At 40.2% G+C, this 14563-nt stretch overlaps 1 protein-coding gene across 2 annotated transcripts in view, besides 1 other annotated feature; it reads left to right on the top strand.

Moving 5' to 3' along the window:
- The window catches only part of MCC (MCC regulator of Wnt signaling pathway), a 466348-nt gene that overhangs the window by 308338 nt on the left and 143447 nt on the right, over window positions 1-14563 (top strand). The window lies entirely within an intron of this gene.
- Window positions 12171-13370: an enhancer, noted in NCBI's record as "P300/CBP strongly-dependent group 1 enhancer chr5:112502443-112503642 (GRCh37/hg19 assembly coordinates)". NCBI's record gives its function as "activates an origin of replication core promoter dependent on BRD2, BRD4, P300/CBP, MED14 and CDK7 cofactors, with strong dependence on P300/CBP, by STARR-seq in HCT116 cells {active_cell/tissue: HCT116}" and the evidence as "EXISTENCE:reporter gene assay evidence [ECO:0000049][PMID:35650434]".

Here is a 14563-nt window from a genome sequence, read left to right as displayed (position 1 = left end):
AGGCGACCCCTTCCTAAAATCGGGGGAGGAGGCTGTCGGGCCACTGTATTCATTCTCCATGGAAATCCTCTTTGTACTTCTGGGGTGAGAATAGAAATCTCTAGGGCATATTTAGCACATCGTCTGAAGCTACATCTTCAGGTAATTCAGAACCAAGATGTAGGTATGTATATGTTTAGGTATGTATGTCTCTTGACCAGGGATTCCTGCAATACCCATAGCAGCTGGTTGAGAAGACAAAAGATGGTGAAGCTGAAATTTGGACACAGGTGTGTGCCTGTATCTAAGGCCCATGCTCTTGTAAACACGGCAGGCCTTGGCTCTAATGTTCCCTGTGTGTGTTATAAATTGGTGCTAGGTATATCATTGCAAAATGTGTGTGGTTCCTAATTGGGCTGTTGCATTTTACAGCAAAATCCTTTTGAAAAATTCAACTGCATTCATTTTTGTCTTTTCTAGAACTTGCATGTTATTAATTGGTAAATGAGAAGATACACTGGCATTTTAAAAGAAATCAATAGAAATTGATTCAGTGTGTCTTAGTTTAATAAAATTCTACTATCTGCTGTTTTTAAAGGATCAACACACAACCACAATGGCAGCCAGAACATCTTGAACCCATTTTGGGAAGAATTTCCTTTGCATTCCCTCTATGAGGAAAGCAGAGCCAGTCACTTCAGAGTACTGAGCACTGCCTGAAGTACTTCTCCTGTTACTAACAGCCAGTGTACTTGCCCCTAACAGCATTTGAGAAGACAAATGTTCCCTGTGCTAGGCTGCAAATGGATTAAAGCAGTGTTGATCCTCATCTGTCAGAACCATTAACATGAGTAAAACACTTGCCCTACTTAAAGCAGATGGAGGGGGCTGGGGGAGGGTGTTCTGTGGTACTGTTCATAAGATTAATGGTGCTATATGGACAGCAGAGAGCACTGGCTTTATATTCTGAACATTACATGGATTTACAGGGATGTCAGTTATTCCTGAAAGCACAGCCTGTGTTCTTAAAGGGTCTCTGTAAGGTATTGAATGAGACATGGAAGAGTGTGGTATGGGGGATGGTACATGAGATAGTAGCATTTTAACAGTAAATTATGACTTCTGGATCATTTTTGCTCTTCTTTTGTTTAAGCTCTGCTGAATTTAAGTCTTAACAGTTACCTGGCTTCTTAGAGTATGTGTAAATATTATAAGATTTTTTTTGATAAGATAAATGAGAGAGATAGAAATGGGACTGTAATCACAAGAGACCACAGCTCTGTGTTTGCAGGAAGACTTTAGATCCCCTTTGCCTTCTGGTAGAAGGCAGGAGGGTAGGATAGGAGGAAAAGAAAATAGAACATGTTAATTAAGAGTGGGTATTTTTGAGGATTTTATTATTCTTTGACAGTGGAAGTGGAATGGTAAAATTGTTGAGGTTAACGCAACAGTGATAGAAGACAGTAGTGTGAGAAATAATATTTACATGAGTGCTGAATTAAATTTAATTATAGAAAGGAATCCGGTTGTTGGCAGAAGTTTAGCTATCTCTGCAAGGGCCAGACTTGGGGGTGAGGAGGAAATGTGGTTGAGTGGCCACTTGTCATAGGCAGAGTGGGTTGGGATTCTATTATTTCTCTGGCTAACCCTTCCCAATATATCCCTCATAAATAAATCTTCTGCCCTGGCAATCCCCCATCTACCCTTGTTTGCTCTTTCTCTTGTTTTCTAGTACCTCAACTACTGGAAACAGGCCAGAATCCTTTGCTGCACTAATGCCATCTACACTTTATGTCTAAATCTGACCCCTAGCCACCTTGCTAGGAAAGCTGCTGCATGCTCAGAGCTACTGAGATGGTCCACTCGCCACTGCCTTATCTGGTTCCATAACAGGGACTGCTGCAGGTAGTGTCTTTGTTAACTGTCTAAGTGACAAGAGTGACTCCAGAAATGCTCCTCCCGTGTCATTCAGGAACGCATTCTAAATACCATTTCTGCAGCTTCTCTTCCCTTCCGCTGCCACTCATACCCCACTTTCCTGCATGTGTTCTGATTTGCAAGCCCTGTTTTGGTCCATTCTTACATTACCCACTGTTTTGGGTATTGTTTTGCAGATGGTGTTCCAAGTATGTGTTCTTGCAGGTTTAACATAGTGAAATAGTCTTCTAAGATAAGGAGAAAAAATTCTTTCGTAATTCGAAAAGAAGGAAATCATTTTATGTTTGTTACAGCATTATTTTAAATTAGTAAAGATTAGAAACTACCTAAATATGATTAAGTATGATACATTAACTTGATGGCATTTACTCAGGCATTAAAACTACAAATATGAAGACTGTGTACCCACTTGAGAAAACCTATAGAAAATAACACAAAATTCGCCATATATGTATGTTAGGATTACAGCTTTTTAAAGAAAAATGCAAACATGGATTTTAAAAAATGGAAAGGATCATGAAGAAATCTAATTGCTATAACAATTTTGTTTTTTGGTATAATGTCTTTATGTGAAATGGCTTTAATGGCAAAATGTACTTAATGTTAACATTGTTTATCATCATAAGCAGACTTATATCATTGATTTCAGTGCTCCTTTTTGTTTTCAGATTGTGTGACTGAAGTCATTGGACTGTCTAGCCCTAGATTTTCCATGGTTATGTACCTGAGAGATTTGTTGGGATGGTTTCCTAACCATTGCTGAAAGTCCACATTGTGTCATTGCACAAGGCACACAATGACCTCCAACGCCTGGTTTAGCTTTTATCATAGTTCCCATGTTAGAGGAACTAGTCAATGTTAGTCTTTAACATGTGGTTATTCAGTGCCTCCTTTGTGCCAGGCACAGTGCTAGCTGTTGGAAACCAGTCAGACAAAATGCTAGTCCTCAAGGAGTTTACAGACTACTAGAGGAGACCAAAGAAACAAGGCCACCGAAAGAGTGTGTTAGAAGCTTTATGGGAACTAGGAGGCTACATAGGAGAGGGGTCCACTAGGACTCAAGAAGTCTTTCCAGAGGCCACCTGAAGATGGTGTGGGGGTGGGAGCAGGTAGGTCCATTTAAAAGAATTTGGACCTACCTGAGGGCGAAGGGCAGCCACTGAAGAGTTGTTATTGTTTATATTTCTCTTTTAGCAAGAGAAATGATGTCATCAGACATGCACCTCAGAGTGTCTACGCTTCCTTTGGAGAACAGTTTAGAGAGAAGGCTAGATGTAGGGAACCAGTGAAGACACTGTTCCTGCAATCTAGACAAGCAGTGGACCCTGAGCTAGAATGGTGATGCTGGCATGGGGAGGAGTGGATGGTTTCCAGAAAGATTTGTGAGGCAAGATCAACAGAAATCGATAAGAGGGACGTGGAGGAAGAATTCAAAAAGGATACCCAAGTCTCTGGTTTGGGTAAATGGGCCTGTAGAACTTGGCTCATGGCCCATATTTGTTCATTTAATTGAACTGGGTGACAGTTCAATTGCCTAGCAAGCTGGATGTACGGGGTGGGTTAGTTTGCAGGGAAAGAAGGGAAGTTGAGTTTGGGCCACATCAAGTGTCATCCTCTGGGTGCAGCAGTGTGGTCAGCAGCTGGTGGTACAAGCCTGGAGCACAAGGGAGCCGTCACCCTTAGCTGTTGGACTTTGAGAACAGTGTCTTGCTCTGTGTGTTGAGGAACATGCTAGAGCTTCAATAGTAGATGTCTTTTCCTGAGAATTCTGTTGACAGTTGTCTTCAGATGTCTGAGTGTTGGCAGCACAGCTGCAAGAGATAACTTTTCAATTAAACGTTTACTAGCTGTTGTACTCAGGGTGCACACAGCTCCTCTCTGTACATCCACTGCTAGTGCTGGGCTGTTAATACAGTCCTTAGGGGCCTGGCCTGATTGCAGCTTTATGACCTTATTGTTGTGATCCCCCTTGTTCTTATGTCATGTTTTAATATACAGTACAAGAAATGGGCATTTAGGAGCTATTTCTCAGCAAGAAATCCTAAGGCAAAGCCATTTACCCATTATAACAAATGCCTTGCTGGGAAGTAGAGAAAATAGAATTAGCTCCTGAATTTTCAAATGTATACTTAAACTTAACATTTTTCTTAATGACAAAATCAGCTCCTTGAAAATCAGCCTAGGATATGCCTATCCAGACTTGAGAGAAAGTGTTTTTTCCCTGCTGGTTGGTACAGTACATAGGGGGTAGGATGCAGAAAAGAAGGGAATATTTAAGGCAGTAGTTTTCAAACTTTTTTTTTTTAATCTAGATCTATGCTGATCACAACACACTAAATTTGTCTCCAGACTCATTTATGGATCATGACCCACATGTTGAAAAATATTCATGAAAAGTACTCTAGGGATGATTGGGGATGACTATATCTCTTCCTTAAAATTGAATGTATTTTAGAGTAGATTATAAGGAATATTATGTGGTTGCTATTTAATCCCCTGGGGGTACACCAAAACAATATTTACAATCTAATACAAATTTCATACGACCTCCTAGATAGGTTCCTGAGAAAGTCAAACAAGGCTTTCAAAAGTGAAATACATTGCAGTATCCCTAGCATCATATCTATTTATCTGTCACTACTCCCCGTCCAGTTTGAGTGGCTAATTGAACACTAACTACAGTGATCAAATTTGCATTTTCCCTGTCAAATGTGCCACTCTGTGAATAGCTAAATTAACTTAGTCTTCCTGGAATATACCCAAATGTTGAGAACCATCTAGGACCTTTCAAAACCATTTGGTCTGTTCTGTCTTAAGATAAGCAGAATAAATACGTCCCTGAAATCAAAGGAAAACTAATTGTAGTACCTCTTTCCAGCTTTAAGTCATCAAAGTTTGACCATCTCAAGTATGTTCTAATGGGGTTCATTATTTTGTTTGTTCTACATCTGAGATACTTTTACATTTGCATTGTTAATATCCATTTTTCAAAATTTATTGACATGTCTATTTATTTTCAAGAATAGTAACTTATTAGCCTCTCCTTTCAAAGCACAAAAGCTACACATGGCCACCAGAACAAGTCAAACAACACAGAAGTATATCACGGAAGAGCTAACTCAGGCCCCTTCTCCTCTTAAATTTCTGTCTTCCTCCTTAACCAGCATTAACAATTTGGTGTTTATTCTTCAATACCCATCTAAGCTCATATAAAATACACAAGTATTTATAAATGTGGTGAACATTTTCTCATAAAAATGAGATCACACTATGTTAATTCTCTTCTTAACATTTAAAAAAAAAATCTGTCATCTGGGCATATTGGCTCACTCCTGTAATCCCAGCACTTTGGGAGGACAAGGCAGGAGGATCGTCTGAGCCCAGGAGTTTGAGACCAGCCTGGACAACATAGGGAGACCCTCATCTCTACAAAAACTACAAAACTCACACCTGTAGTCCCAGATGCTTGCTTGGGAGGTTGAGTTAGTATTGCTTGAGCCTGGGAGTTTGAAGCTGCAGTGAGCTGTGATTGGACCATTGGACTCTAACCTGGATGACAGAGAAACACCCTCAAAAAAAAAAAAAGTCTTAAGAAAAAAAATATTTTTTAACTATATGTCGTGGGTTTTTTCTCCAAGGTCTTCAATATACCATTCTTTTTTACAGCTGCAAAGTATGGATATGTCAGTGTATTTATTTACTCTCCTGTAGATGGGCATTAATGTGTTCGTTTAGTTTTTGTTATTATACTGCTATAATAAATATCTTTGTAAATATATCTTAAAACTAGTAAATCATTAGATCAAAAGAGGTGCTCCTTAGGTGCCAAACAGTGCAGGTGATCCATACCAGCAGTGTAGGTACGATTCACAATGACTCCATCCAGCCTCCACCAGTGAATTGGTTTTTGTTAGCTGAGTCCCTTTACCAAGGAGCCAGGAAGAAGACAGGTTGGGAACATTGATTCAGGTCTTTTTTACCTAGGATATTTCTGTGTCTACCCACCCCTACCTTGGATCTTTGCTATCTCAATGTCCTAAATCTCTCTTAGCATTGGGTCTAGGACTTTTTAAAGCAGTGTTCTGACTTCTTTACTTCACCATGGCAGTGATATACCTCATTCTAGACACATTTCTGTAGTTCTCAAGCATGAGTTCCAGTTCTGTTGATTTTGGTTCATCTTAATCTACCCAGTGTTACCCTCCATGTTCATTTCCCCTTTGTGTTGCTGTTGCAGTAATGTAGAAAGGTCTCTGTCTTTGGAATTGGTTATGCTGTTAGAGTGGTGTGGTGGGCTGTAAATCCCTGCACTTAGACCTTTGCTGAGTTACACACACCAAGTGCATTCAGGGTTATGGTGCTGTTTTAGCTAATTGGGGTTTGAAATACTAAATAAGATGTTAAAGACAAATGTTCTAGGTCACTTTGATTTCATTCATTCTAGTACACTGTACTAGCTACTAGGAATAGAATATACTGAGAAAACAGAAATAAAGTTTGTCCTCAAGGAATTTATGTCTAGGTTAAAGAGAGCCTCTGCAAAGAAAAATACAATTTGATAAATGGAGTGCTCATGTTATTAGATGGGATTCAGTCATGCACATGATTACACTGATTGGGGGAGAATAGAAGTTTAGTGGTGTTGTGATCCAGAGCCTCATGGGATTTCAAAACAAATCTTTACAGTGACCTTATATTTATCAGGAAGAATAAACAAATAGCTAAAATATTATTTTTAATAAAACAAAGGGGGAGATATTACACTATGCAACATTAAACATAATATTGTCATTTAGAGTAACATAAAGATGTAGCTATAATTATTCAGTAGTAATAGGACAAACAATAAATGAAAAGTACAAAGTTGATTTCTAATTCATGTATGCCATGAAATTCCAGATGAATAAAAGGTTTAAAAAATGACCACATAAAAGAAAACCACACTGAAGAAAATGTTGGTAGCTATGGAATCTGAGTGGGGTGGAGGATGTCTTTCTAAACAAAAATCAGAGAGAGGATCTGTTAAGGAAAAGGTTTATGGAAGCTACATAAAAATATGAAACATACAGATGTGATAAAATGCTATATAAATTAAAAGACGAACAGTTCACTGGGAAAGAGTATTTGCAGTGTATCTGGTGAAAAGTTAATATCTGTTATATACATCAAACTCTAAAAAATCATCCTATCAAAACAGGCAAAGAACATAAACAGGCAATTAAAAAACAAATTCATGTGTCCAGTAGATTTACGACAAAAAGTTTATCCTGAAATAATCAAGAAAATGAAGACTATTTTGGAATCAAATTGGCAAAAAAAAAATATGTGATATATCTACACATGTTAGGAGTAAAGTGAAATAGATACAGCTGGGAGAAATATATATTGCAATAGCTTTCGGTAGAAGGCAATTTCACAGTCAGAAGCCTTGGCCAGATAATTAACTCTATTTCCACGAATTTGTTCTAAGGTTCTTCATTGTAGCAATATACAACAAGGAAAATTGGTTACACATTCTATAATTGGCTGTTGGCTAAGTTATGGTACGCCCAGCACATAGGTAATTGTGTTAAGATGGACAGATGGCCATGGGTGGAGTCTTTCTCGTCACCTGATTTGTTCTGTGTTATGTCAAAGTGTGTAAGAGGTGGGGAAAGAACATTTCACATTTGCCTCCCCAAAGCCTTTTTAGTCAAACGAGGTTACTTAAAAGAAGAGGATGTGCATGGCAGAGTAGAGTTTTCAGCTGTAAAGCTATAGGAAATAGCAACTTGAGGCTGACCAAGTACAGTGAGAAGGGAAAATGAAGCTTGTTCTCTATGCAAATGAAGTGCTAAAGCAGCTGAATAGTTGTTCTAACCTCCAAAATTTTGCCTAGGCTGTTAAATAACCTTAAAGAGGTGAGAGTTTGATGCCTGAGACCCTTTTTTGAGTTGTTTTGTGTTCAGACAGACAAAAACATTGCTGTCACCTCTGAATCCTGTCTTAAGTGATCCAGTGAGACTTGATCAATATTAAGTCAGGTGCCTGGATTGTGTGAGCTGAACTGTGTCTATTGGGTATGAACTGTCCATTGGTATGTGTCTCTTTTCTCTTCCACTGCTACATTTGGAGAAAAGGGTCCTACCTGTTCTCATATAGAATCCTTCCCCTACATAACAGTTCTTTTCCCCCTCAGTGCTCCCATAGTACCTGAAGTCAGTCAACATTTGGATAGCTTTCCATTTTACTTTTTCTTGGTCAAAACATGGCACTGATGGTTTGCTAAGAACCATGGGAGATGGATCATGAGGGTGAGAAGGGAGAGCCTTCCTTATGTAGGGGCTCATGTAGTAGGGTCAGTTACTGATGAGTTCCAGGACTTGCTGGTGACAAGCAGATATCACTGAAGCTCTTCGTAGCTAGAAACCTCACAGATTCTGGAGAATTCCCTTGCCACAGCTGCTTCCGTTCTTGGAGGCTGCCCGGTAACCACCTGTGAAATGATACAGGCCACAGAGCCACCAATTAGATGTTCTGGGTTAAAGAGGTTTCCACTTTCCAGGGCCAGGCGCGGTGGCTCATGCCCCTAATCTCAGCATTTCAGAAGGCCAAGATGGGCTGATCACTTGAGGCCAGGAGTTCAAGACCAGCCTGGGCAACATGGTGAAACCCTGTCTCTATTAAAAATACAAAAATGAGCCAGGTGTAATAGTGCATGCCTGTAGTCCTAGCTACTCAGGAGGCTGAGGCACCAGAATAGCTTGAACCCAGGAGACAGAGTTCGCAGTTAGCCGAGTCGTGGCACTACACTCTAGCCTAGGCAACAGAGTGACACTCTGTCTCAAAAATTAAAAAATAAGAGGTTTCCGCCTTCTGCTTGTCTCTGTGCATTTTTGCCCTTGTTAGGTAATTGCCCGACTGAAGCTTAATACATTTTGGGGCAGAGATGTAAACTCATAAGTACCCAAGTGATGAAACAGCTCTATTTTCTATGCTTCCTCCTTTTGTCTTTAGGTTCAAGAGAATGGCTGCCTGTCTGATGGGAAATTATCTTGCACCATGCTGTGATAGCACTCTGCTAAACTTGACTCAGGAGCTTTCTTGTGGATGTAGGCAGTTGTGATCAAATTTTTGTGTGGAGGGCAGATATCTGAGTGAACTGCCAGGACATGGTCACATGCCTTTGACAAACAGAAATGGTTCAGGAGAGCCACTGAAGCCAAAGCTTTAGGGACGCATGTACTCGGTGCTTCCACAGAGTCTCAGTTCTGGATGCAGAACGCCCAGTGTGGGAGCCAAACACCCACTCTTCAGCTTAAAGGTATTGCCAGCCATCTGGCAATATTTGGATCTGACTCTCAGATTTCAAGTCTTGCCCTTAGAGATAAGTATTCCCAAGGGCTCTTTTCTGGGAGCAAAACATATGAGTTGCTTGCTTATACTGTAACTACTGACCACATCACGAAAAGTCTATAACTTCTTGTCAAATTTTGTAAACAGAGGCAAACATAATAAAGTATGTTAGAGATGAATTTTAAGAACACCAGTAAGGAGAGTTATATATAAAAGTCAGTAAATACTACCTTGAACTGTAACATTTTTGTAGTGCTTTTAACAAACAACACTTATAGGAATGCCCCGAGACCCCGGTATCCCTAGGAAGTGGGTAGAGTAAATATTAGCTTCCCACAAGCAGATAGGGACATGGGTGGGTGTGCATAGCAAAGGCTGGGTACTGTGGGACTTTAATGACGCCACAGAAATAAAAAGCATCCAAGCTTCTCACCATTCATGCAGTTGTGGTTTATCAGAAAATTTTGGAAATGTCCCTTCTTGCCTAAGGAGGTAGGAATATGGTATATTGCCCAATTCTACAAGGAGAGGATGATTCTGCCATGGATTAGAAGTAAAGTCCATTGAAGAAAAGGACAAAAAAGTGAAAGGAGTAAAGGGACCAGTTAGCACCCTATGGCTCCATCTGTCCTTGTTTAAAAGAAGTAGGTGCTGTAAAGAAGAAAAAAGAAATTTAGATTAAGACACTACCATCAATGGTCAAGCTTCTTTCTATGAAGACCAGACCTGCCCATGACTTTGTGCTTAAAAATACTCATTTGTGCATCTTACTAAAAATCCCTAAGAATTTTGTATTGGAGCTTAGATGTGTGGGGTATATCCATCTAATTCTACCATAGTAGCTGTAGCTGAGGTATCATGTACTTGCCATCCCCAGAAGGAAGTACTTTATTTAAGCAATGTGAAGTTGAGCAATGCATAAAAGCTGGAGTAGAATAGAAATGTTATCATTTATGCCGATCTCCCAAACAGTGCACTTTGCTGGCCAGTCTTTAAATTGCCTCTTGCTGCCTGAATAGCTACTATTAAAGAAATGAGGCATTTTGTTTTCTAGACAGCCCTCTGATTGTTGACTACAAACACTCACACAGAGTGCCTGATTGCAGAGCTTTCTGTTTTTTTCCCAGGTCATCCCACAGCAGTTCAAAAGGTGACTGCTCTTGGGGAAGAGGTCAAGTCAATGCATTTTAAGAAACCTACCCTTGTGTCTCCCCATGGCCAGAATGTGACCCCATATAGAGCTTCTGAATTTGTACATTAACCCCCTTGGCACCACACCTGAGCAGTTTGACTGGGTCTTAATGAGAGAACATTTTTTCAAGAACAACCTTTACTTGTTTCTCAGTGCACACCTCATCTCCACCCAATTATCTAAACATCAGCATTCCTTGGTGTGCTTGGCCTTGCTGGTCCATGCTGGTTATAGGGTGTGGGGTGGCATTACAGGAGACTATGCAAGATTAAGGCTTTGACACATTTGGGTGCAGGAATGGTCCTGCAGAGGAAAGTCTTTCAAAAAGACTTTTAAAAAGACCTATAATGTTAATTTGCTTATTATTATTTTCCTTTCTCCTTCTGGGTTTCTTGGCTTCCTTTAGAATTAATGGTTATCTCCATGTATACAGCCTATCCATTCTATTTCCCTCTTCCCCCTACTCTTTGGATTCTTTTCCCCTTTTTCTCCTCCCATCTTACCTATAAAACAGCAAGAGCAATGCAAATCAGTGTCCCTTCTTTCTGTCTTCCTAGGACAGAGGGCAGGGAGTCTGGGACGGTGGGAGTTTCAAGATTTCTTTAAGGGAGGCATTCAGGGTGCTCTGGGGCTGGGGATTGGTGATGGGGAGGCACAGAGGGCTTGTCTTAAAGCCGTTTGCTTAGCTAACACAATCTTTACATCCACCGATTATGTCTGTTGGATGCCTGCAAGAGAGTTGGTGGATATCATGGGGGCTGATGCCTGCCTAAGCTATTGCTTGCTACTAGTCAAGCCTGAATTTAGAGTCTTTGTGCTTTATAGACTTTAGGGGTAATATAGAATTAGCCTTGTGGACTAGTCTGTTGCCCCTGCCCCGTTCTCTGCTGCCTGTCTCAGATCTGTTGCCCCTGTTTTCCCCCCAACACCACCCACTAGGAGGGCTTAATTAAAAAAACAGACATGGCAAAAAAGCACAGTTGCTTTGGCCTGCACCCATTATTCAAACTACGAGATTCAGAATTCTGTAAACCACAAGGGTTTTGTGCCTGTGGTATATTCTGGAATTTGAACTCACCATAGAAAGAGCCTGCTTTGTATTATTCTTTCATGGCATAGATTTATCCTTTTGTATACTCTAATAATGTATTTCTATGGAAATCATTTAACTTATGTAGCACAGCTCATCTTTTCTTAGTCAAGTTTTTAATAAAAAGTATGTGAAAATCTTTCTCCATAAATGTAATGGGGGAAAGAAGTGCAAGTATATTTCTTCAGAAAGTTTCAAAGAACTGAATCATGTTAAAGCACTTGTCTGAATGGATATGAAAGTACTCTTAACATCTGGCATTTATCTGGAAAAGGGCACATTTTCATCAAAATTTTAATATTCCATATGTAAGTTATGAATTCTTTATGGCTCTCTAGTTGCCTTGTTTCCACAAGCATGTACAGTGTATATAAAGCTCCAAATAGGCTTGTTGTGGCATGCCCTTGGTTTAGTATCGCACTAGGTATATAAGAAAATCCAGCATAACTTTGTTGCTTTATAAGGATACTCAAAGCCTGTGTGTTTCCCTAGGAAATGATTTGCCATGTTTGCACTTTTTCTTCACGGACATACAACTGTTGCCTCCCAAAAATGTGATATCTGAAATGAGATAGGTTCAATTGTTAATGTTTAAAATCCTGAGACTGCAGGCAATTTTTGAATAATTTTGGTTTCTTTTAAGGATGGTATTGACTGGGTGCAGTGGGTCACACCTGTAATCCCAGCACTTTGAGAGGCTGTGGTAGGAGGATTGCTTAAGCCTAGGAGTTCAGGACCAGTCTGGGCAACATAACAAGACCTTAACTCTGCAAAAATTTAAAAATTAGTCGGGCATGGTGGCACACACCTGTAGTCCCTGCTACTTGGGAAGCTGAGGTGAGAGAATTGCTTGAGCCTATAAGGTCAAGGCTGCAGTGAGCCTTGATGATGCCACTGCACTCCAGCGTGGGTGACAGAGAGACCCTGTCTCAAAAATAAAATAAAAATGGTTATTGAAAGGGGAAGGTGGTGGTTGTAGGTCATGTTTCTCTGCCCCAGAAAAAAATTGTTTTAAAAGTCTAGAGAGTTTCAGTCTGTTGAAGTTAAAATTTAAAGTGGTGATTCTCTTTCCCTTTTTCACTCTAGCCTGTTATTTTGGGGATGAGGAAGCTGTTCCTTTATGTATCAATCACTTTAAATAAATTTCCAGTTCTATTTAAGTCACTTTTCCGGGTAGCCCTCAGCCCTGCAGGTGTGTAAATGCCATAGCTCCCAGGCTGAAGCACATCAGGGAATGAAGTGCGCAAATTTCACACTTCTGTAAATGTTGCTCTGTGTTATGAGTCACAATTGCCAGGATTTAAGAAAATAAAACAAAAAGCTAGCTTTGAGGTTCCTGTGCTTCCTTTGGAATAACCACTGTTTTTCTTTGCCACATGAAAAGAAATGCCCTCCATAATTGTTCTGTGTGTGTTGACTCACCTTTTTTGCCACAGCGCATCTATTGGTGTAAAGTGAGAGAATCATCAGACTGGAATGAATCTTGAGAGGCTGCCGACCAAACTCCCAGGCAGGGCTGCACCCACATTATCCCAGAGAGATGAGACTCGCCCCGACTGGAAAGGTTTTCCGGGAGAGTAATTCCACAGCCATCGCTGTACCTTGTAAGACATACCAAGCTTCACTGTCAGGAAAGACATTTAGAGCAAGCCTGAATCCCTCATGCTGAAATGTAAACCCATTATCTCTTGCTGCATACCCTGGTGAGTCCCTGCAGTCTAAGAGTTCATCATATGCTTGGCAGCTAGTGCTAATTTGCCTCTGTTCTCCTTACCTCTGAGCAAAATCATCCCATTTCAAATTTGTGATATTTTTCTGAGAGCCCAAAACTAAGCTTTGTTTTTTTGGTTTTTTGGTTGTTTTTTTTTTTTTTTTTAAATAAATGATGCCCTGTATTGAGGGTAATGGGAAGACTCACAGAGTCTTGGGATCTTATAGTCCTGTTTATCCATCTCAAGTGATGTTTGCATTTAAACTCTATTACGAAGACTCAGAGTCTTCGGATCTTATAGTCCTGTTTATCCATCTCAGAGTGATGTTTGCATTTAAACTGTATTATCACCCACGCTGTTCCAAGATTAGCATTTCAGAATGTTGACCTCACAGGGTAGCTCATGCAGGACTCTTAGGACACTCCATCTGGATATCAGGCAAAAGCTTACTCAACATTTTTTCTACCGCTGTACTTGGTCCCATGCCTAATGATGGTCAGTGTAAACTTCTTTAGTAGTGGGGCTTAACTTTAAGAGTTTGGGTAAATTTTAGTTTTTGTATTGTAAAAATGTCAGTATTTCTAGTCACTGCCAGACTTAGATTTTCTTTTGATATTTTTATCTAGGTTGGAAATGTATCATTCCTAAACAGCCTAGGAGTCTTTCATAGTTTCTTTGCTCACTGCCTTTCTGCTTTCAGGAAACAAAATAAGGCAGCTTTAGGGAATTTTTCTGTTTGCATCCTAGTGCTATGTCTACAAGGAGATGGGGGAATGGTAGACATGACAAGAAAATCAGGATTAGATGTCACTTCTTTTGCTGTGGCATGTTTGAAGTAATGATTAGGCTGGGCTTCATGAGCTTGGGAAAATATGCAGCCTTCATTCCCTGCCCCCTCCCACCCCTCTTAATAAGCACAGGAGAAATTTAGCTTGCAAATGAATGTATGTTTTGGGGGCAGAAAGCCGTGTCATTCCCAAAAATATATGATGAAAGAAGTCTTACTTCTGGGAAGCTGTGTGCTATTTGTGATTACCCAAAAGCTCCCCACCTCCCTCAGCAATGAAGCTGTTTCTATTACCATTAGGTCTGGAACCTAATATGGATTTTTTGGGTGGTTACAGGTTGGAAGACGGTGCCATTGGGTCGGGTGCTCCTGCCATTTAGAGAAAGTCAGAAACAACCAATAAACGTAAACCCCAAGGAAACGTTTCTTTTATCAGCCCATCATGGTGGCCTCCTCTTTATTCTTCCTGCTGCTTTCTCTTTCAAGGGTGTCACAGAGTCCCTGTAACGGCAGAAGGGTAGAGGTGAGTG

This window comes from Homo sapiens, chromosome 5 (genome assembly GCF_000001405.40).
Source record: "Homo sapiens chromosome 5, GRCh38.p14 Primary Assembly".
Classification (NCBI taxonomy): Eukaryota; Metazoa; Chordata; class Mammalia; order Primates; family Hominidae; genus Homo; species Homo sapiens.
The sequence above is the reverse complement of the archived record's forward strand: the minus strand, read 5'-3'. Positions and strand labels throughout refer to the sequence as shown.